Here is a 23,948-nt window from a genome sequence, read left to right on the forward strand (position 1 = left end):
GCTCCATTTTTCAGATAGCAACATCTTGTATTAATAAGCACACTGGCATGGTGATCATTTGCTGCTGTGTTCTAATTTATGATGATTAATGTTGACAGGAGGAAGGAAGAGTCAGACAAAAATTATTTTGAAGGTACGGGCTATGCTCGAGTTCCAACTCAACCACATGCTCCCATCCCAACCTTTGGACAGACAATTCAGACCACCGTGGATAGAGGCTTGCTGTTCTTTGCAGAAAACGGGGTAATCTATAACAAGCATCCAGATACAACCAAATATATTCATTCTGTTTAGCAATTTGGAGATAACTGGGTTGTTATAAATGACCCACTAGATCTGGAAAACAATGTGTAAATGTTACCTGCATCCTTTTCCTCCACCCAGTTGTACTTTCTGTTGGCTGGGAAATGTACTTTTTTTTTTTTTTTAACATTTTTAGTTTCAGGGGTGCAGGTGCAGGTTTGTTATATAGGTAAATCGCATGTCACAGGGGTTTGGTGCACAGATTATTTTATCACCCAGGTAATAAATGTAGTACTCAATAGGTAATTTTTTCTGTCCTTAAAAATACTTCCACCCTCAAGTAGGCCCCAGGGTCTGTTGTTCCCTTCTTTGCGTCCATGTGTACTCAATGTTTAACTCTCACTTATAAGTGAGAACGTGTGGTATTTGGTTTTCTGTTCCTACGTTCGTTTGTTTAGGATTATGGCCTCCAGCTTCATCCATGTTGCTGCAAAGGACATGATCTCGTTCTTTTTTATGGCTGTGTAGTATTCCATGGTGTATATGTACCTCATTTTCTTTATCCAGTTTACCATTTATGGGCATTTAGGTTGACTCCATGTCTTTGCCGTTGTGAATAGTGATGCAAGGAACATTGGCGTGCATTTGTCTTTATGGTAGAACGATTTATATTCCTTTGGGTGTATACCCAATAATGGGATTGCTGGATCAAATGGTAGTTTTAAGTTATTTGAGAAATAGACAAACTGCTTTCCACAGTGATTGAACTAATTTACATTCCCGCCAGCAGTGTACAATCATTCCCTTTTTTCCACTTTCAACCTCACCAGCATCTATTATTTTTTGACTTTTTCATAATTCCCTTTTTGACCAGTATGAGATGGTATCTCATTGTTTTGATTTGCATTTCTCTAATCATTAGTGATATTGAGCATTTTTTCATATGCTTGCTGGCAGCATATATGTCTTCTGAAAAGTCTGTGTCCTTTGTCCATTTTTAATGGGGTTGTTTGGTTTTTGCTTGTTAATTATTTAAGTTCTGATAGATTCTGGATATTAGACCTTTTTCACATGCATAGTTTGTAAATATTTTCTTCCATTCTGTGGGTTGTCTGTTTACTCTGTTGATAGTTTACTCTGTTGATAGTTTCTTTCATTGTGCAGAAGCTCTTTAATTAGGTTCTATTTGTCAATTTTTGTTTTTGTTGCAATTGCTTTTGGGGTCTTTATCATGAAATCTTTGCAAAGGCCTATTTCTATAATGGTATTTCTAGGCATTTCTATGTCTAGAATAGGTTTTCTTCAAGGGTTTTTTTTTATAGTTTTAGGTTTTACATTTAAGTTTTTAATTAGTCTTGAGTTGATTTTTGCATATGGTGAAAGGAAGGGGTCCAGTTTCAGTCTTGTGCATATGACTAGCCAGTTATCCCAGCATCACTTATTGAATAGGGAGTCCTTTCCCCATTGCTTGTTTTTGTTGACTTTGTCGAAGATCAGATGGTTGTAGGCGTGTGGCTTTATCTCTGGGCTCTCTATTCTGTTCCATTGATGTCTATTTTAATGAGGGCAAATAATCAGGAATTTGAGAACATGCCCCCCAAAATGTGGGAGAAATCTCCCCTTTTCCTGTTCTATTCTCATTATCAGTTTTGTTATTTGAGAACCACTGCTTGCCTAAGAATCTACTTATTCTGACCCAAAACATGTGAAAACTTCCTGGGATCTCTAAGATCTAGACTGACTTCCTGCTGTTTCTGTCTTGATCTGATTCTTACCAGGCTGTGTGGGATTGTGTCTTTATCAGCATGTTTGCCTTCTCAAGACACTGAAGCTTCTCTGTTTTCAAGTAGCTGAGATTCCTAGGGACCCTCTAAAATCTATTAGGTTAGAAAAGTCCAAAGTGACACTCTACAAGTGATCGTCAGCGCCATCTGCTGGTTGATGGAGAGTTGGCGTGATGTTTGCTGCTTTATACCTATAGCCGGCCTGGAGTTGAACCCTCCGGTGAATAGGAGCTTCTGTAGTTGCTCTCACGGAGTATTTCTGAAGAAATGTGGATGAGCCCAAAGGCTTTCTGGTGGTCCGAGAACATGGGATTGATAAGGAGCTTGGGATTTTACCAGAGTCTTCTACCGCAGGGTGGTGACACTGACCCGGTCCAACTCTCCTCTCTGGGGTTGGTCTGGACCCTTCAGGAGATTCCAAGGCTGGACCAGTTCTGATGGTTTGGGAAGGTCCCAGCCAGCCTGAAGGATACATAGAGCAGAGAAGTCATCCAGCATCTTCAGGACACGGCAGTTGTTTTACAAAACAAGGTCTTCTTTGTATATAATTTGAAGTTCTTGGAGACTAAGAACCAGAAATACTACTCATATAATAAGAAAACTTAACATAATACCATTACATAAGAAATGACCTAGAGATCTGCTTTAAGTAGGATGGCTCATGACTCTCAGTAAATTGGTGTAACTCTGTTGTTTATGGTTTGATCAACCTAAGCTGACTCCCAAAGGCAAGGTTTAGGATCCAGATAAGGACTGATTTTCCTCTTAGAAAAGAACTCGGTCCCTGGACCTCAAAGAGAGGCATTCTTATCATTAAGGAACTGTGTAAAAGCAAAGCCTTCAAGCCCTAAGTCAGAAATTGCTCAGCTTATCTTAGGGAAGTAGCTGATTCAAGTATATGTTTCACACCGTAATGGAGATGCAATAATGACAAAGACAGATATGGCTCCCGCCCTCCGGGATTTTATAATCTAGAGGGGAAGAATATGCAAAGGAATGCTGTTAATAGGTTGTTTATTTCATCACAACTGTGAAGAGCTGTATCAAGGAAAAGTTTGGGGGTGAAATGAGGATGTACAACATAAAAGACACTTGAGCAAAGGAAATGCTTCCTCTGAGATCAGGAGGACAGCATTTGAACAGGACATGGGGACAGGCAAGACGGGGGATCCAGGCAGAGGGAGAGGCATGAAGAAGGCCTGGAGGTGGGAAGGGCAGGGAGCACTCAGTGGAACAGTGGCTGCGGGGCTGGAGAGCCAGAGGCAGTGCTGAGAGAGAGGCAGATGCCACGCAGCATCTGGTAGGGGTCAGGGCTTCATCCTGACAGCCGAGGAGAGTCACAGGCTCCCACTGGCATTTTCAAAGACTGCTCTGGCTGTAGGGGGGAATGGACTTTCGGGGGTACATGGGGAGACCGGCGGGTTGTTGCTGCAGGGACTGGCTAAAAATGTTGTGGCTGAGACTAGGTGGGATGACATAAAGAGAGAGCTAAGAATGGCAGAATTTACAAGATTATGTTGGATGGGAGAGAAGGAAGGATCAAGAATGATTCCTAGGTTATGATAAAGGGATGAGAAAGAAAAAAAATGACTCCTAGGTTTGTGGCTTGCTCAGCAATAAGGGAAAGGTAAGCATGGTGATGTATGTGTGTGCCCTGCACACGTGCATGCAGGGGGCAGGCTGGGAGTCAGGGAGCGCATGCACCTGGTATAATGGAAGAAGAGGCAGGCTTGGCAGCCTGTAGGAGGCATGTAGGTCATACGTTCTGTGTGAGATATTCTGAATTTGAGGTCTCTGTGAGTCATGCAAGCAAAGCAATAACAACAAGGGAATCACGTGTGCAGACTTGGCCCTGAAGACAGGTCTAGGCTGGGGAGAACAATTTGGGGCCCATCAGTACACCTGGATTGGAGCTACAGGAGAGCCTGTGATTGTCAAGGCAAAGGGAGTGGTGTGGGGAGGAAGGAGTCCTGTGTAGGATCCCCGAGGAACCCCCAACACTGACATGGAAGGTAGAAGGGGATAAACCAACAAATGAGACAGAGACATAAGAATCAGTCAGAAAACAGATGGTGGAAGGTATCTGAGGTCTGCATAAGACCTCGCCTCTCTCTAAAAGGCACTCATATTTTCAAATAATATTAATGATCTGTATCTTTTCGGTCTCCATCTTTATACACCAGTTATGGATCGCATGAAACAAAATCATGATCATAGCTAGCATTTATTGTGTCTGTCCTGTGGGCCAACCACTGTGCGTGACATTTAACGTGACTTACAGTATTGAACCATCATCCCATCCCGTGAGGTTGCTGTTGCAGCACCATTATCCCTTTTCACTGAGGCAGCAGCTGAAGCTGAGAGCAGGGGGGTCTGTGAGAGTAACGGGAGTTCCAGTGCTCTGCCTCTTCTTCAGCCAAGCCTTCTGGTCATCTGCATTGTTCCTCTGTCCTAGGATCGCTTCATATCTCTAAATATAGAAGATGGCAAGCTCATGGTGAGATACAAACTGAATTCAGAGCTACCAAAAGAGAGAGGAGTTGGAGACGCCATAAACAACGGCAGAGACCATTCGGTACACCTTTTGAGTCTGTTTACTTGAATCGTTAAATGTCCTTAGTCCTTTAAAATTAAGTCAGTGCCCCCAAATAAATAAATAAAACTTCCTATTACCAGATAAACTTATGGATGTTAACTGAGGGATATATCCTTTTAAAATTTGCACATTTCGGCATGAAATGTATAACATATACATGATATCTATAAAACACGGTTAACTTCAAATACAAACATTTCTATCAAAATGTTTTAGTATCATATTTTTATCCAAAAATGCTACTGCTCAGAGCCTTCCTACTATGTATATAAATGAATCTGGGGGAAGATAAATAAAAACATGATAGTTCTGAACCCCTGTGAATAGGATTCTCTTATTTTCGCTGGCTTGCTGATTCATCTCTCATTTATTTCAGATTCAGATCAAAATTGGAAAACTCCAAAAGCGTATGTGGATAAATGTGGACGTTCAAAACACTATAATTGATGGTGAAGTATTTGATTTCAGCACATATTATCTGGGAGGAATTCCAATTGCAATCAGGGAAAGGTAAGATGATTTTTTTAAAACGAGATTTAAAGCCTTTGTTAGTGGTTATGATTGTGACCAAAAAAAATCTGGTCTGCCATTTTTAATTCCACCAACAAACAAACACAAAAAGTTAACTTTTCCATATTAACAGTATAGTCAACAGAATAAAACAGATTTAAATCCCGAATAATGAGACTGGGCAGTGGAAAGAAGGAGGGTGGGGGAATGTGTGTCACCGCCATTGTCATTCTCGGGAGGGGAGGGACCACGAAGGGTATAGTTGGGTTAACAATGCTGGCAGCAAGTAGAACAGAGGCTGTGGCCCTGGGCCCTTGAAGGCTGCATAGGAGAGCGTGGGCCTCCCAAGGCCTGACAGACATCCCTGGGGAACTGAAAGCTGAGGTTGCCACCTTCAGGGAGCCTCTGGAAGAATGTGAAACAGTATGTCTCCTTCACTTCGGCATCAGCTGCTCCTTACATGCTATCGAGCGTGGAATTGTTACGTAACTGTTTCTTGGATGAGTGAACACATGAATTAATTAATGTGAAAGGCAGTAAAGCTTTATCTGAATGGGAAAAATCCCACCATTTTGGAATGCACGTAAAAATAACTTTTACATTTTGATCATTTGTATCCTCCCGGAAGGCTTTTAGATAGCTGACGATAGTGTGTGGACAGAACATATCCTGGAAGGATTAGTGCAGCCTCATGACTAAGTAAGAGTGCTCCCAGAAGGTTAGGTTATGATGACTTTTATATGAGATCTGAAGCTAGTTAACTCTTTTGCTAACTTATACATCAGTTGGAAGGAACTAGAATATGATTTATAAGGTGTCATGCCAAGGTATTCTTTCTTCTAGAGTCCTTATACATGTGGGCGTCTGTCCATTCTACGTAGTCAGGTACTAATCTTTGTTTTAAAGTTGTCAGGGTTGCCTCCAAAGGCAAAAATGCAAATGGGAAAGCTGGGCACTTCAACAGAACCTGGGGGTGACATCTTTACTCCCTGGGCTCTGGAAGGAGCCTTGCAGATCATGGTATGTAGCCCCTGAGTTTTACAAATGAAGAAATTCAGAGCCAGTGAGATTATATTAATATTTAATATTATCAATATCAAATAGCAATTCAGCCATGAATAGCCAGTTATGAATTGTCAGTAAGATTGATTTTATTTCCATGAAATGGAATAAAATAAAATCGTTTAAGGTAGTTTTTTCGAGTACTTTTGAGTATGTTTGAGAGTTGCCACTTATTCATTCATTACACAGGATTTATTGAGTGCCTAATGGGCATCAGGCAGAGTGACAGGTGCCAAGAAGGCAACAATGAGCAGGGTGGAGCCTGGAGAAGAACAGAAGAGAGACAGTCACTACAGGAGAACATGACGTGTGCCATAGGAGGAAGCTCAGGGTGCTGACAGAGCCCAGGAGGGAACCTAATCCAACTGGGGCCATCAGGAAAGTGACCTCCAGCTGGGACCTGAGAGATGCTAGCAGTCAGTGTATGTGAAGCACCAAAGCTGGATAGAGAAAGCATGAACTTGCAAAGAGCTAGAGTACAGCAGGAAGTGGGATAGGGATGCCCCATGGGGCTGATGTGGGCAGCAGGGGCCTGACCACAGAGTACCTTGAAAGTCACAGTAAGGAGCCATTGGAGGGACTTCAGCAGAGAAAGGCCATGACCAAATTTGGGTTTTCAGTAGCTCACTCTAGTGCAGGGCAGAGACTGGATTAGAGAAGAAAAGGGCAGAGGCAGGTAGAGTGGCTGGAGGCCGAGTATATTAACAGAGGTGAGTGATGAGGGTGACCTGGCCCAAGGAGTGGTTATGCAGGTGAGCAACAGGGATCAGATTCCAAATATATTTAGGATGGTGAATGGGCAGCACTGCACAATGGCTTGGGTTGGGGAATAAAGGGGAAAAGCAGTCAAGAATGATGCCTGGTTTTTGGCTAAGCCCTTGGCAGATGGAACACACCAACGGAGGAGTGGGGTGAGAAGTTAAGTCTGAGACAGGCTTAGTCCAGGAGCCTGAGACACAGCCAGGTGGAGAGGCCCACAAGCAGGCGCACAAAATGGCCTGGGCCTCCAGAAAGGAGGCCAGTCTGGAGAAGGGTAAATGAAGCTCAGGGCCAGGTAGTCATTGAGGTGGTAGAGGCCAGTGGGCTTACCCAGAGCCAGGAGGAATTCTCAAGTTGAGGCAATAAGGAACCCATTGGTGGTGGTTTGTGTTTGCATGATATTAACACAAGGCCCCTAGACAGTGATGTGGATGCCAGTCAGTCCAGGTTTTCTAGAAAAGAGCAGTAGGTAGAACCACAAAAGAGGTGGCTTTAGTTTTGGCTCAGCAAAACTTTAGGTTAATTCAGCACTCAACCTTTATTTGCCTTTTCATCTCCATCCATTAAAGAAATATATAGATATAGAGATGCATATACATAGAGAATTTGCTTTTTTAAAACAATTTTTTGTAGAGATGGGGTCTTGCTGTGTTGCCCAGGCTGGTCTCGAACTTCTAGCCTCAAGTGATCCTCCCACCCCCAGAATTCTGGGGTTACAGGCGTGAGCCACTGTGCCCAGTCCAGAATTTTCTTTCTTTTTTTGAGACAAGAGTCTTGCTCTGTCACCCAGGCTGGAGTTCAGTGGCGCCATCTTGGCTCATTGCAACCTCTGCCTCCTGGGCTCAAGTGATTCTCCTACCTTGGCCTCCTGAGTAGCTGGGATTACAGGCATGTGTCACCATGCCTGGCTAATTTTTTGTATTTTTAGCAGAGACGGGGTTCCCCATGTTGTCCAGGCTGGTCTTGAACTCCTGAGCTCAGGTAGTCCACCCACCTTGGCCTCCCAAAATGCTGTGATTACAGGCATGAGCCACCATGCCTGGCCTAGAATTTTCTTAGTAACTTATTTTGGGATCCTCCAAACAAGGGACTGCTTCCTTTTTCTGGGCAAGTTTTATACTTTGACCTTTTTTTTTCTTTTTTTTTTTTTTTTTTGAGACGAGGTGTTGCTCTTGTTGCCCAGGCTGGAATGCAATGGCATAATCTCGGCTTACTGCAACCTCCACCTCCCGGGTTCAAGCAATTCTCCTGCCTCAGCCTCCCGAGTAGCTGGGATTACAGTGCCTGCCACCATGCCCGGCTAATTTTGTGTTTTTAGTAGAGACGGGGTTTTGCCATGTTGGTCTGGCTGGTCTCGAACTCCTGACCTCAGGTGATCCACCTGCCTCTGCCTCCCAAAGTGTTAGGATTACAGGCATAAGCCACCATGCACAGCCTATATTTTGACTTTTTATTAAAATCACTGGAACATGGAAAATGCAGGAGATAGAGGCCAGTCAAAAGATTTCACTGGCCCTTCACTCCCTCTAAAGCAAAATTCTAAGGAATAGTCAGCTGTTCTGGGTGTTGCCTCATCCCTGTGGTGAAGTCTTTGGTGGCCCAGAGATTCCTGAAACTGCCATTGGGCATGAGTCACTGGGAGGTGGGGTGGGCACAGAGGAGTTCCATGGATAATCCACAGCCAAGCTCTGTAGGGGCAACCAGCCAACGCTTCCAGAGCAGGGAGGTGTTCTGGTCCCTGGCATAAATGGAGGGACCTTTTAGACAAAGTTCTCAAACCTAACCTGGAGCAAGGCAAGCAAGTGTAATCACTAAATCAGCTTTGCTCAAGGGATTTTGTGCACGTTTTGTTTCTTCCCCCTCTCACTGTAGTGTTTCTTCTGGGAATGGGGACCCAGATCTTGGAATGGCTTGTTTCCGATTATAATCAGAAATCATTCTGTTAATCCCATCTCCTACCCAGGAGAAGAGCAAATCATCCCTGGTAATGCCAGAGGGTGTGACACCAACAAGGGCATTTTTCTTGAGGACCTACACCATTGTTTACAGAGTGTGATTATACACACTAAAATGAAAATGATCCAAAAAGTAGATCTATTGAACATCGACTAAGTACCCAACACCAAGATTAGGGCTGCCTTTTGTTCTTTTTGCTCTCTGAAGTCGGCCTGCAACAGCCATGGAGCTGGCTAAGCTTTTGTGGACAGATTGGCCCAAAGTATACATAAATACCCCAACGCAGGAACCCACCAACACAACAACTCATGCCCCAGTGCAATCACATTCCTCTAGCAAGTATGTTCAGACCCTGTATCCTGGAGTAAATGTAGAACTGTAGGTCCTCAGGTAAGCCAAGGTAACAAGAATCCCCCCAGGAATAGTGGAAGTAAATCTCTTCCATTTTAACACTTCTGCTGTAGGTAACTCTTCTAGAAAAAGGCATGATCACTTCCAAGTGCTGCAGGAATACCAACTGTAAGTGTAAAAAGCAAGGGCTTCAAGCCTCACTAACCTGTGTGACACACTGACAGTACAGACCCCAGCTCTACCACTTACCAGCTGTGTGACCTTAGGCAAGGCCTTAACCTCTTAATGCCTCATTGCTACATCTATAGTATGGGCATAGTAGCTGCCTATCTCTTAGGGTGGTTGGAAGATTCAGAGTGTGTAAAGGAATTAGCAGAGGTCAGCACATGGTCAGTGCTCAATAAATGTTAGATAAGAAAACCTGCCCTTCCTGCACATGTATCCTAGAACTTAAAATAAAATAAAATAATATAAAAGAGAAAATACCTCCCTCAAAAGCTTATTGTAAGTTGGATTCATAGAGCTTCGTGCAAAATAGGTGGTCTGTATCTGTTAACTGCCTTTCTCTCCTACTATTTTCCTTTTCTGCAACCTTCTTTCTTTGACCAATAATCTATGGAGAGAGGGACATCTGGAATGTCGTTGTCCAAGAGATATGTTGAAACCCAAAGAAGAATTGACCTAAAACCATGTATAAATAGGCAAGCTCCAGGAATGGAAATGAACCCTCCTCCTCTTCTGAGGCAAAAGGCCATCTTTATAAAATAATTAGGCTTATACTGTAATGCCAGTGAGGATTTGTTTCTTTCTTTTCCTTTTAATGAAATTTAATTTTAGGTCTATTACAGGTAGCTCAACTGTTTCTAATGAATTGGATTAAAATGAATGCAGACACCTTTCCATTTAGAAAAGTAAGCTGCATTAGGGATTTAGAATGAAATCAGCTTTGGGTTTTCTTAGTACATCATTTGTTTAAGAAACACAAATATTTGCCTGGACTTCAGTTAGTTCATGTGTGTGAATGCTTTATGTGCATTCAGCTCCAGACAGATCCAGAAGTCAAATCGAAGGGGAAATGCCCTGGGGCCATGTAGAAAGAGCTGCTTTAGAAATTGCTCTCATTATATAAGAGCAGTAATATGGGAGTAGTTACTAACTTGACGATCTCACATTGAGTCCTTACTCTGTACAAAACACTGTTTGAGTGTGTTACACATATTAACTTTCTTAGACTATGACAGCCCTATGAAACAGATTCACATATTCCCATTGTCTAAATGAGGAAACAGGCACGGAGAAAAGTTGCCTGTTCAATCAGAAGGGACAGAACTTGAACCCAGGCAATTTGGCTGGTCCAGAGCAGCACAATTTTGCCTCTCAGAAACACCTGCTGAGCATTCACGTCCAGGTGCCATGCACTGCTGCAAGCTCTTGCTGTACGTTAACTTGTTTTTTTGGTTTTGTTTTTGTTTTTTGAGGCAGAGTCTCGCTTTGTTGCCAGGCTGGAGTACAGTGGCACGATCTCAGCTCACTGCAACCTCCGCCTCCCGGGTTCAGATGATTCTCCAACCTCAGCTCCCGGGTAGCTGGGACTACAGGTGCCTGCCACCACGTCCAGCTAATTTTTGTATTTTTAGTAGAGTTAAGTTTTCACAATGTTGACCAGCCTGATCTCGAACACCTGACCTCAAGTGATCCACCTGACTTGGCCTCCCAAAGTGCTGGGATTACAGGCATGAGCCACCCCACCCGGCCCGTTAATTTTTTAAATCCTGGCAATAACCCTTTGCCCACAGGTAGGAGGTGGTAGATACAGCAGCATATGAACCCAGACAATGTGTTCCATTGTTTCAGCTTGGCATTGGTTAAATCAAGCTACGTTTTTCATAATTGAATAGAACCAAAAAGTAACACTTTGTTTCTTCTGACTTTACAGTGGCTAACTTAACAGTGAACAGAAAAAAAAGAGCAAAAGGTTTTCTAGAGCACTCCTGGTTCCTACAAATGATTTATTACTTTATTAATATATATGTATATCATATATCATCTATTAACTTATTAATACATGTCCTATCCACCTGCAATGCCGTGACTCCAGCGGGGAGGGACGGGCAGTTCTAGATATTGTGCATGTTCTCTGTCTCTTTACCTTTTGCGGCCACTGGCCATTCTTCTGTTAACATTGTTGTCTGCATTTTTAAAGCTGGGAATGTAAACTTACACAGAAAGGAAGTCAGTTCTCCCAGCATCATAAAATAAGTAGCATTATGGGAATCCCATGGGAAAGGATAAACATAAAACACCTACTCATTTATGGGTGAAAAGTACTAAAGAGCACAGCGTTTCAGCTCTGATTTCACGTGAGCCTGACATGATCCATCTCTTCCTTTTATCTGTGTTCGTAATCAGATTTAACATTTCTACGCCTGCTTTCCGAGGCTGCATGAAAAATTTGAAGAAAACCAGTGGTGTCGTTAGATTGAATGATACTGTGGGAGTAACCAAAAAGTGCTCGGAAGACTGGAAGGTAAGTGAAAGTTCAGAACCTCGTGAAGGAGTGCTTCCCAGCCAACCCACCTTCCGTATCCATTAACGCAGCAACTTTTGACTTCTTTCTGATAGCACACAGTGTTACAGTGAACTGGCTCATATACACTCCCCATGTGCTTGCAAGATGCTGAACCTTTTCAGGTTTGCACATTAACTTTGTAGGAAAGTAGGAAGACCAACTATATACACAAAAACTTACAGATGATTGCTGACTTATTATGCAGAAAAGTAAGCTCTCTTTCTTTCTGAGGTTACATAAATCACATTAATCAGTTTGAGTAAAGTGAGATAGGGTAAGGTACTGTATTTCAGCCAAGAAATGATTACAATGCCAGTAATTTATTCCATGTTTGCATTTCAGCTTGTGCGATCTGCCTCATTCTCCAGAGGAGGACAATTGAGTTTCACTGATTTGGGCTTACCACCTACTGACCACCTCCAGGCCTCATTTGGATTTCAGACCTTTCAACCCAGTGGCATATTATTAGATCATCAGACATGGGTATGCAGTAGTGCATTAATATCAAACAAGATTTAAACCTGACTCAAAGTTTGATGTTAAAAACAACAGAGAGATTTAGAAAGTGGTGGAGTTGTACATTTTTTCTATCATCACACAGTAAATGCTATTGTATAGTTCAACCATAAACGTTATTCCCCACTCTGGGGTAGGTCCTCAAAGAAATCAAGTTTAGAAAGTAACATTATAATTTACAGAGTTGCATTTGTGTGTACTCGCGGACTCATTTTTATTCTTTTCAGGTATATTTTATAATAAGAGTTAAGGTGGATTATAACTACTGTAGTTAATAATGTAGCTTAAAGTTTCAGAGCTCAGAAAGAAAATCAGAGTGTGTCCCTATGATTTCTTTTTGATTGCATTAAAGGTAGCTCTCTCCAGATTGCCTTTTTGCAGCAGCAGCAGCAGCAGCTAGTTGGACAATATTTATACCTGGGGAATTGGAGAAAATAAGATCCTTTTCTCTTTCCTCATGTACAACAGAGCCACATAAATTCTCTTCCACAAGGAGATACCATCTGTAACTTAAGCAGATTTAGCTAGTGTGGTTATGTAGATACAGAAGTCACCTAATATTTAGAAATGAATATTTGTGGAATGAGTGGAATTTTTAAATAGAAGTAGAGTATGATTATTTCTGAATTTGTTTCTTTAGGATTGCAGAGCACAGCAGACTTCTAGTATCTGTCAAGAAAATGGCTGGTGGCTGACTCTGTGGCTCTGTAATATCAGGAAGGCCGCCCCTCTCTTGGTGGCTGACTCTGTGGCTCTGTAATACTAGGAAGGCCGCCCCTCTCTTGGTGGCTGACTCTGTGGCTCTGTAATATTAGGAAGGCTGCCCCTCTCTTGGTGGCTGACTCTGTAGCTCTGTAATATCAGGAAGGCCACCCCTCTCTTGGTGGCTTGCTCACCAGTCCTTGAGGTTTTATTTTTAAAATGAGCCCTAAAGAAGCACATGCTAACACTTAGACTATAGGGGTGGCTTTTCCATGAAAGCAGGATGTTTTGATCTAGCTCTTATGATACCTAACACTTGTTTCCTCTGCCACGTGTAGGAACACTTAGTACACAATTCACAAAATGATCGAGAGCAGATGGAAGAATTAGGTTAGCAAAAGATTAGATCCGCCCTGGACAATGGGGGAATCCTGGATATAGCATAGGGACATTGCCCTCAATTTCATAATGGGTTAGCTAAAGATACATATAAGTTAGCATTAGTTTATGCAATTCATAATGAATATTGCCAATTGAAAAAAAGTCAACACAAAGTAAAATCAACAATGGCTATAACCACACACTGTAAAACTTGTTTTAGACTGAAATCTTACCAAAGAATCACATCTTGTTGAAAACTGCAGAAATTATACTTGGTAGAAAAAACACAAACAAAATTGAAATGACAAGTGCTGAGATTGCACATTTTTTAAATTAATGATTGACAGGAAGAGTCAAATTATCTTGCCCAAATTTACATCTTCAGAGTTCAACATGGAGAATTGGACTTCCCAAAAATAATGACTAGGAAATAAAAAATTTATAATGACTGAAGAGAAGAAATCATTGTAATATTCTTATATTAAAAATTGAGGAATCGAGTCTTTGCTGTAAAATTTATTTAGCAATGAATTGATCCGATAGAAATAACTTCAGCCAAAGAAAAATAAAAATAGAAAAATTTAGACTGGGCATGACGGCTCACACCTGTAATCCCAGCACCTTGGGAGGCCAAGCCAGGAGTATCTCTTGAGCCCAGGGGTCTGAGACCAGCCTAGGGAACATAGTGAGATCCTGTCTCTACAAAAAATTACAAACTTAGCCGGCTGTGGTGGTGTGCGCCTGTGGTCCCAGCTTCTCAGGAGGCTGAGGTGGGAGGATCGCTTGAGCCTGGAACAGTGCCACTGTACTCTAGCCTATGCAAGACAGCAAGACTCTGTCTCAAATAATAATAATAATAAGATAAAATATAAAAATTTAGAAATGATTTAACTGTTTTGTATAGTCGATTGAGAAATTAAATTGGCTTAATGAATGTAGGTCCAAAAAATGATTTTGACAAATTCATTGGTGTTGACATAATTTGCATAAGATTTTTATATTTATAAACATGGAGTCAAATATGCAAAAAATAATCTTTAGAGCAAAAAGCAAACTCAAAGCATTTGGGTCAAAACATCCTGATTGTTTTATACATGGTTTGGATGATAAATTCAGTAAAGATACAGGCATAATCCTTATATGCAAATTAGTTGATGGGTATTTTCTATGGTGATTTCAGACAAGGAACCTGCAGGTCACTCTGGAAGATGGTTACATTGAATTGAGCACCAGCGATAGCGGCGGCCCAATTTTTAAATCTCCACAGACGTATATGGATGGTTTACTGCATTATGTATCTGTAATAAGCGACAACTCTGGGTGAGTGGAATAATACTTCTGTCAGAGCTGTGAGTGAGTTTTACTCTCTTTCGTTTAATGGAATTTTCTGGTGTCTTTTTGCAAAATATTTGTCCTTGATACCAAAAATACTTCACTAATAAGTCTTGTCCTTCTTCCTTTTTCCATATCAATTTCTTCATAAAAAAATAAACTGCCACACATGGTGGCTCATGTCTGTAATCCCAACAACTAAGAAGGCTGAGGCAAGAGGGTTGCTTGAGGCCAAGAGTTCGAGACCAGTCTTGGAAACACAGTGAAACCATGTCTCTACGAAAACTAAAATAAAATAAAATGTAAATAAATAAAATTTTAAAAATAAATCAGTTGGATGGATAAATTGTGGTGTATTCAAATGGAATGCTATATAGCAATGAGAAAGAAGGATCTAGAACTATATGTAATGACATGAATGACCCTCACAAACATAATGTGGAAAACATTGAGTCACACATAAAAGTTCATCTCATATGATTTCCTTTATACAAAGTTCAAAAACAGGCAAGAACTAATCCATTCCATCAGAATTCAGGATAGAGGGAGGGAGGCTATAGGGTTAAAGGGAATGCACAACAGGGTACCTGGGGTGCTACTCTGTTCCGTTTCTTTTTCTGGGTGCTGGTAATGTTGGTGTATTTCTGTTGCAAAAATTCGTTGAGCTGAACACTTATAGCCTGTGCACTTTCTGTACATGAGGCTCTCATAACACAGTCTTTCAAAACGCCATCTTTGGCAAGATACACCCATTTTAATAAAAATGTGATGTGCAAAAGAAAATACATGAAAAAAGTTGTAATGCTCTTTAAAAATAAAGTCTAGTTTCACTAGTTATTTTAGATAACAAATATTGAATCTGAGTCTTAGACAGTGAGTTGGCCACATGGCAAGGGCCCTTTTTTCCAGCAGTTCTCACCCATGATTTGCTTTTCTTCCCTTTCAGACTACGGCTTCTCATCGATGACCAGCTTCTGAGAAATAGCAAAAGGCTAAAACACATTTCAAGTTCCCGGCAGTCTCTGCGTCTGGGCGGGAGCAATTTTGAGGGTTGTATTAGCAATGTTTTTGTCCAGAGGTAGGTGATCCTCTCTTTGTGGGTAACTGATGAGAACGGCCTGCCCATGGGAAGGGTATCTCTTTGGTCCAGTTAACAAAGTCAGCTTTGTCAACATGTGCTGCACGAGACCCGCATACCACAGTCTTTCAAAATGCCATCTTTGGCAAGATACACCCATTAAAAAACCCATAAAAAACTCCTGGGCCCGGCCTCCTTTTGGAGGAGCAGCGTTAGCATGTAACCTTGGAAAAGACCTAATTAAAATTAACTTCAGATTATGGCCCGGAAAAGTATTCACTGGAATTTTATTGCATTATAATCAAGATTGTGCAATTAGATTTAATCAGCTCTCCACGGTTTTCAAGGCCAAGGAACTGCATGGACCAGTGCTGTGCTAGGAAACCAAATCACCACAATGTTGAACGTGATATTTAATAGAGAGAGAGTAGCTCTTGGGGCTTCCATGCAAGTGTTTACATATTTTTTTTGATACAAAATTATTGTTTTTAGATAAGAGGCAAAATCTTCTCCAGGGTAAGGAGAGGGCCTGGTTCTGGCTATGAATCTCAGGCTGGAATTCTCAGGCTACCATGACAGGGAGCCTCCCACCCATCAGGGCTCCATCCTCCTTGGCCAGGATGAGGCTTAGAGTTCTCATTTCCCTCCTGGTTGATGAAACATCTTCCTTGAACATCTAATTCAGGGATTGGAGCAGGAGGTGGGAGGGATGGGGAAGGCCCAGGGGTTGTTAGCAACAGCTTACTGCCATGATAAGGCTTGGACAAGAATCGTGAGATAAAGCAAATTTGTCCAAGACTTTCCTCCTCATAGTCAGATAAATCCTTCCATAAACTCACCTCTGAAGTTTCCTTATATTTACCATCATTCAGTATCATCCAGTGCCCATCTTCTCCCTCTGTGCATATTTTACGTTCGTATTTCCACATGACACCCATTTCAAAGAAAGAACTATAGTATCCCGGCCCTCCCACAATTCTGCCACAATCCCAAGTCAATAAAGGTTTCTTGGGCTCCTCGCCGGCTTCTAGAGGTGATATTAAAGTAGGAGATGAAAGTTTCCCTAGGAACCATGACCATAAGAATGTGTAATTTTTAAAAAAATCATGGATACATAACAGTTGTATTAATACACATTTATGGGTTACATGTGATATTTTGATACAGTTCTACAATGTGTAATGATCAAATCTGGGTAACTGGAATGTGCTTCATTTCAAGCATTCATCATTTCTTTGTGTTGGGAACATTCCAAATCTTCTCCTCTAGCTATTTTAAATTATACAATAAATCATCATTAACTTGAGTCACCCTATTGTGCTGCCAAACACTAGATCATATTCCTTCTATCTAACTGCATTTTTGTACCCATTAACCAACCCCTCTTCATCCCCAAAACATGTACTTTTTGAAATGAGCTCTCTCTACCAGAGGGTCTTCCTCGACATGTCCAAGTTTGGCAGCATCTTTCATTTCTGCTCTTTTTCCAGGTTATCACTGAGTCCTGAAGTCCTAGATTTGACCAGTAACTCTCTCAAGAGAGATGTGTCCCTGGGAGGCTGCAGTTTAAACAAACCACCTTTTCTAATGTTGCTTAAAGGTTCTACCAGGTTTAACAAGACCAAGACTTTTCGTATCAACCAGGTAAGTGTCCAAACCTAACCCTGGGTTTCCCTCTTCCCTGGAGGATTCCCCTGAGCCTGCCTTGTGGGAGATATTGGGGAAGGGGGTGAGAGCTCACCAGTCCATAAAGTGGGATTGATGCATTATCAACAGTTGAATCACACCAAAATGTCAAAATGGTTTTCTTTTTAGCTTGTATTTCGCATCTTGATGAAAAGTTGGCAAGTTTTGCACTCACAGAACAGAACCATGACTTAGGTTTCTTAATTTCTGTAGCTGATGTCTTGCTGTTTTAACATTTCTGCTGTGTCCCCAGCAGGTCCTATGTTTTTCTATAGAATATAAGGGCCATGCTCCTCTTCCTGCCCATAGACCTCCCCTCTGTTCTGATGCAACTCCTATGACAAGATACGTGGTGTACCCTTGACTACAGACTAGAAACACCTGGGGAGCTTTAACACCCCAATGCTTAGGCTGCATCTGACCCAATTAAGTTAGATGCTCGTGGAGTGGGTGTCTCAGTAGTTTGTGAAGCTCCCCAGGTGATTCTGAAGTACAGCACTCAGAGGGACTGAGAGGAAATGAAACTCCTTATTTGGAGGAGCAGAACATTGTGATGAGTTGAACACAGGATCAGGGTTTAAGGAGCTCCTTGCTCTGCTCAAGGTCAACAATGTAACTTTCCCAGGTCTGAGGTTACAATTAATATGGTTAATGGATAACAGTGGGCACCTCGGATCTGCCAGGCACTGCACTATGCACTCCAGATGGATTTTCTTACCAAATCCTTCAATAACCTTATGCTGCAGTGCAGAAAGGTAAGCAGTTCTGCCCAAGCTCCCACAGGTGGAAGGTGAGTTGGAGTTCCAACCTAGGAGCCCGTGGCCTCTTGAGAGCTATGTGCTCCTGTTCAACACACTTTCCACTTAATGTCAACCACGTGCTGCTTCTCTACCAATATTTCCCCACTGCACAATGATTTGGGAGAGCATGAACAGATAATACCTAATAAAATACATGTTTTATGCTATTAAGAAGAAATATACTTCATAAATCCAGAAGGGCTGTCATTTTCCCATTATGGGAACATCTTTAGAATTGCCCCATCAAAATTGAAGTCATATATTCACTTTTTCATTGTAAGGCTGAAAGTTATTGAGAGACTAAATTAGCCCAGTGATGGTGAACTGGAGAGAGCAAATGGATTCAAATCTATTTACAGGATAGAATACACATGACTCAGACAATAATTGAATTGGGAAGACAAGGGAGAGGCAGGAGTTAAAATAATTCTGAGGCACCCAGTCTGGGTTATTGGATGAATGGGGATGTCCCCTCCATGGAGATAGGAGAAGGACACGTATTTGGAGGAAAAGAGAATGGAGTTTGTGGTGTATTGAGTGACAGGAGTCTGCAGGACACCCAGGTGCAGAAATTTGGTGGGAGACTGTCAGGAGTCTCTGCGTGGGCTTCAGCAGATAGGGTGGGACTGGGGCTATTAATGTGGAAAACGTCAGCGAATACACTTTCATTTCCCCCTGTTTTGCGTAAGCCCCCAGTTTGGATGGAATAGGACATTAGTCTCTGCCCAGTAGCAGAGAGAATACAGCACAGCTTAGTGGTTAAGTACTGGACTCTGGAGTCAGACTTCCTGGGTTTGCATCCGGCTTTACCATTTATTAGGTATGTGATCTTGGGCAATTATTAAACCTCTCTCTGGGTCTATTTGCTCCAATGTAAATGAAGATAAATAATGGTAATACCTCATGATGTTGATGTGAGGATTAAATGAAGTAATAAACACAAAATACTTAGAAAAGTGCCTGGCACATAGTAAGTATGCATTAAATGCTAGTTATTATTACTATGCATGCTAATGAAAACCTAAATGAAAGGGCATAAGATGCTACAGGAGTGGTGTGGCAGGAATTTTCCTACCATGGGAATCAGGAGGGTTCTTCTGGAGGAGGTACCCCAGGAACTGGGTCTGGAGTGTGGGTCGAATTTAGCTGAGTGAATATTGTTGCTGCCCAAGCAGAAGCCCAAAGCTGGAGGCAGGATGTGGCTGGGACTCACGGGTGCAAGACATGCTGCATGCATCCTCACCAGACTGACTTCATGCTCTCTCTCTCCCTTCTCAACACACCCCTCTGAGAGCAGAATCAAATGCCAACCTTACAGGTCAGGAAATTGAGTGTCTAAGAGGTTAAAAAAAAAGTTGCCAAAGAGCATCCTGTCAGTAAATGGTAGAGTCAGGATTCAAACTTAAGACTCTTTTTTTTCCATATTAACTAAATTTTTATTTTTATTTTTTCTTTTTATATATATATATTTTTTATTATACTTTAAGTTCTAGGGTACATGTGCACAACGTGCAGGTTTGTTACATATGTATACATGTGTCATGTTGGTGTGCTGCACCCATTAACTCGTCATTTACATTAGGTATATCTCCTAATGCTATCCCTCCCCCCTCCCCCACCCCACTACAGGCCCTGGTGTGTGACGTTCCCCTTCCTGTGTCCAAGTGTTCAAACTTAAGACTCTTAAGCACAAAGAACGTGCTCTTCTCCCAGGCACTCAGAGCTCAGTGGGGATCTCCATCAGTTAAAGCGAAGGGTGGGGATTCACCTTACTAGGGGTTGGTTCAGAAATGGACATGTGACCCCTCCCTCCTGGACAATGAGCCCTGAGAGGAAGTTGAGGGCGTGGCTTCTGATAAAGAATTCCATGTTAGCACAAAGAGAAACCCAGGCAGAATCCATGCTTCTTGTGTTGGACAGTGTAGTGAGGATGTGATTCCCAGAAGCACAAGAAGAACACAAGATTCAAACTTAAGCACAAAGAATGTGCTCTTCAAGCCACATCATGTGGCCTCTACAGGCCCGAGAGCCTGGTGAACAGTGGGAATGGAGAAAGGAGACTAGAGAGAGGTAAACTGGAATCACACCCTGGGGCCAGATCAGGCAAGCCTCATATGACCTACATCAATTGGACATTTTTCTATAGTCAGTGTAACGTCATTGAAAGGAGTCCTGTAAACAGCTGAAAAGATTAAAGATTACTAAGCTGGTAGCAGCCTGTGGGATGGTTTGGTGTAGGAAAGTTCTAGAGCCAAGGAGTCAGATTGGCAAGCTACCGTAATCATCTAGGCAAAAGAGTCGGGGCTGGCTGGGCAAGGTGGGTCACACCTGTAATCCCAGCACTTTGGGAGGCCAAGGCAGGCAAATCACCTGAGGTCAGGAGTTCAAGACCAGCCTGGCCAACATGGTGAAACCCCGTCTCTACTTAAAATACAAAAATTAGCCCGGCTTGGTGGTAGGCACCTGTAATCCCAGCCACTGGGGAGGCTGAGGCAGGAGAATCACTTGAACCCGGGAGGTGGAGGTTGCAGTGAGCTGAGATCGCGCCACTGCACTGCAGCCCGGGCAACAGAGTGAGACTCCTTCTCAAAAGCAAAAAAAAAAAAAAAAAAAAAAAAAAAGAGGGCTGACTTTCAGGGCATAGGCACTAGAAATGAAAAGGAAGGAGTGGAAACAAAATATGTCACACAGAAGAAGAGTAGGACATGAGAACTGAATGCCTGAATGCATGATAGAGGCCAGGGAGGCGGGTGTCCATGAGGACCAAGATTTTGAGCCTGGATGCTTTAAAGGATGATGATGCCATTAAGAGAATTAAGGGACATTTGGTGGCAAAGGCTGTCTTTCAAAACTGTTCATCTTGATGCTTATGCTGCTGACACACGGAGAAGACTCCAGAGAGGGAGCAAGGCCCACTGGTATGAGTCCCAGGCAGGAGCCCAGGCTGGGTTTTAATCTCAGTAGGATCAAGGTTTGGCTGATATAAGTAACTCACTTAAGTTTCTGTTGGGTACAGTAGAACGTCTCCATTCAGCAACGTGCAAGCATCATTTTAAATAACTGATTTCAAGTTTGCGTTCTGAGCACTATATCCAGGAAATGGGTCAGGGAAGAAAACCCACTCCTGAAGGAATGTGAATCTTTTGGGAAGCCTTTAGCTGCTGAATCAGAAAACCCACTGCAAAATTAATGACTTAAACAATAATAATAATCTCACACAGTGAGCCATGCAGGGGTAGGTGAGGCTTGAGGCCTGGCCCATCAGGAGTTGGCTCTGCTTCCTCTTGGTCCTCTTGGCTCCATCCTGGGTGCTTCTGGGAATCACATCCGCACCACACCATCCAGCACAAGAAGCACCAGTTCTGCCTGGGTTTCTCTTCGTGCTAATATGGAATTATTTACCAGAAGCCCCGCCTTCAGCTTCCTCTCAGGGCTCATTGGCCAGCAGGGAGGGGTCACGTGTTTATTTCTGAACCAACCCCTAGTACGGTGAATCCCTACCCTTTGCTTTGACTGATGGAGATCCCCACTGAGCTCTGAGCGCCTGGGAAAAGCGCATGGGCATTTCAGAACTTGAGCTCTGCGGTGGAGAAAAGAGGGGCAGGGCTGGGGAATCTCAGTTACTTCCAACAATTTTCCTAGTCACATTTAACATTTATTATGGTTGTTTTTCTGCATTAAAACTCAGTCCCATTCAAAAGTTCAAACTTCTCTGCATGAGTCAACTCTGGTGGAAGTGGGGACAGGATGTGGTCCCCTCCCTTCTCTTTCTCTCCTGCTATCTTGGTCCTTTCACCTGCCCTGTTGCCCAAGTGAATGGTTGTTAGGGGAGGTGGCCACAGGTTTGCAGTTCCATGTTTCACTGGCAGGCTGTGGGTGTCTCGGTGCCGCTGGCCAAATGCTGGCCCCCTCAAGCGACACTGCAGTTCTTCCAATGCTCAGTGGTGGAAAGGGGCACCAGGCAGCCACTGGTCCCAGGTGCGGCAGCTTTCAGAGAAGAACCCAGACTTGTGTAAGATGAGAATAACAGGCATGCTCCCCAAAGGAGGGAGAGAAAGGGGGGGTATTTAGACTCTCCTAAACTTTGTTTTCCCCAAAAGAATGAGCCCCTCTGCCTCCTAGCCCTGTCTTACACCTTCCTGGTGGCAAAATGCTCACAAATCAAAGCCACACTAGGGCATTGAAGGGGATTACGAGGATCTGGCTTCGGGAAAGGTTAAAGAGCTAAATAAAGAATGAGCTCTCCATTCTGCCCACTCCATACCAGTCAGTGACCCGCAGGAAGGGCTCTCAGCGGAAACTTCCCATCTCCATGGTACCAGGCCTTCTATTGCCCTACTGAATTCCTCACTTAGGATCAAGGGTGAAAATTAAGCAATGTACTTAGCAAGATAAGCATTCTTCACTCTTTCCCCTGATAATTGTGTTGCTCTTTTCCCATGCAGCTGTTGCAGGACACACCAGTGGCCTCCCCAAGGAGCGTGAAGGTGTGGCAAGATGCTTGCTCACCACTTCCCAAGACCCAGGCCAATCATGGAGCCCTCCAGTTTGGGGACATTCCCACCAGCCACTTGCTATTCAAGCTTCCTCAGGAGCTGCTGAAACCCAGGTATTATTTAGCTTTCCTGCCCCAGCACCAGCTCAGAACCTGACTCTGCGATTCCACCTCAGGGAAGTCTGACTGCCATGACACCATGCAGCTCTCTCTAATGAAGGTGGCACTACCATTTTTGTGCAAAGAGGTGCTGGCCTGCACAGGACAGGGAGCGTGATTGCCTGCCATGTGCTTTCCCAACAGCTGGAGGCAAACGTGACGACAGTGTACTTCTCAGAGGCTGAAACAATCAGCTCAGGTCTGGTTTAGAATTGATGGTGTTCTAAAAATAAGGATGACATTTTTTTTCTAAAGCTGCTGTTTATTTCCATGATAAATCACCTTTCTTTTCTTGTATTCTGTAGTGAAAGTAAAATCATTCTTTTTTGGTAGACGCAGTGCCAGATAGATCATTTTTAGAGAATACATTTGGCCTTTTTGCGCTAACAAGTTGCACCTCTTTTGGGGAGGCGGGAATGAGCAGAAATATTAATTATGTCAGAAAAAAATTAGAAAAACAAGATTTGTCATTTTCAGGTGATTTGAAGGAGCCATAGATAAAAAGGTACTGACCTTTTCTTCACGGCTTTCCCACAGAGGCAGAATTGCCCGGGGGGCTAAAAGGAGCTGGCTCTAACATCTGGCTTTCAGTCCTGCTTCACCACTTACTGGCTGGGTGACTCCAGACCATGTGCCAGGGCAGCCCCTCTGAGACACAGACACTAAGATGGGATTAGATGGGCAAGAGGTTCATTGTGGGGAAGCCTGTGAGAGATGACCAGAAGGGGACAGAGATGGGGGCAGGCAGGGAGAGCCCGCAGATGGCTGTGGGCCTGCAGATACTGTGAGGGGAGGGCGCAGGGAGGACAGAGCCGGGTAGGAAGGGCCTCGGGTCGCAGTCCACAGACTGTAACACAGTCTCAGCCAGGTGCCTGCAGTGCCCCCAAGCAGAGATCATCTCTGAGAAGAGCTCAGTGTTGGCTATAAATGGCCCGGCTCTAATACCCCCGAGTGTCACTGAAGACCTAG

At 43.1% G+C, this 23,948-nt stretch overlaps 1 protein-coding gene across 15 annotated transcripts in view; it reads left to right on the top strand.

Annotated features, from left to right (window-relative positions):
- LAMA3 (laminin subunit alpha 3) overlaps nt 1-23,948 on the top strand; it is a 265,614-nt gene that overhangs the window by 227,000 nt on the left and 14,666 nt on the right. For all 15 annotated transcript variants that reach the window (XM_011525978.3, XM_011525982.3, XM_011525980.3 and 12 more), the window contains 9 exons: nt 99-243; nt 4,483-4,602; nt 5,000-5,133; nt 11,671-11,788; nt 12,173-12,313; nt 14,610-14,749; nt 15,708-15,839; nt 17,330-17,483; nt 22,771-22,934. In XM_011525978.3, the coding sequence (XP_011524280.1) occupies nt 99-243; nt 4,483-4,602; nt 5,000-5,133; nt 11,671-11,788; nt 12,173-12,313; nt 14,610-14,749; nt 15,708-15,839; nt 17,330-17,483; nt 22,771-22,934 (1,248 nt within the window). The remainder of the gene's footprint in view (nt 1-98; nt 244-4,482; nt 4,603-4,999; nt 5,134-11,670; nt 11,789-12,172; nt 12,314-14,609; nt 14,750-15,707; nt 15,840-17,329; nt 17,484-22,770; nt 22,935-23,948) is intronic.

This window comes from Homo sapiens, chromosome 18, assembly GCF_000001405.40.
Source record: "Homo sapiens chromosome 18, GRCh38.p14 Primary Assembly".
NCBI lineage: Eukaryota > Metazoa > Chordata > Mammalia > Primates > Hominidae > Homo > Homo sapiens.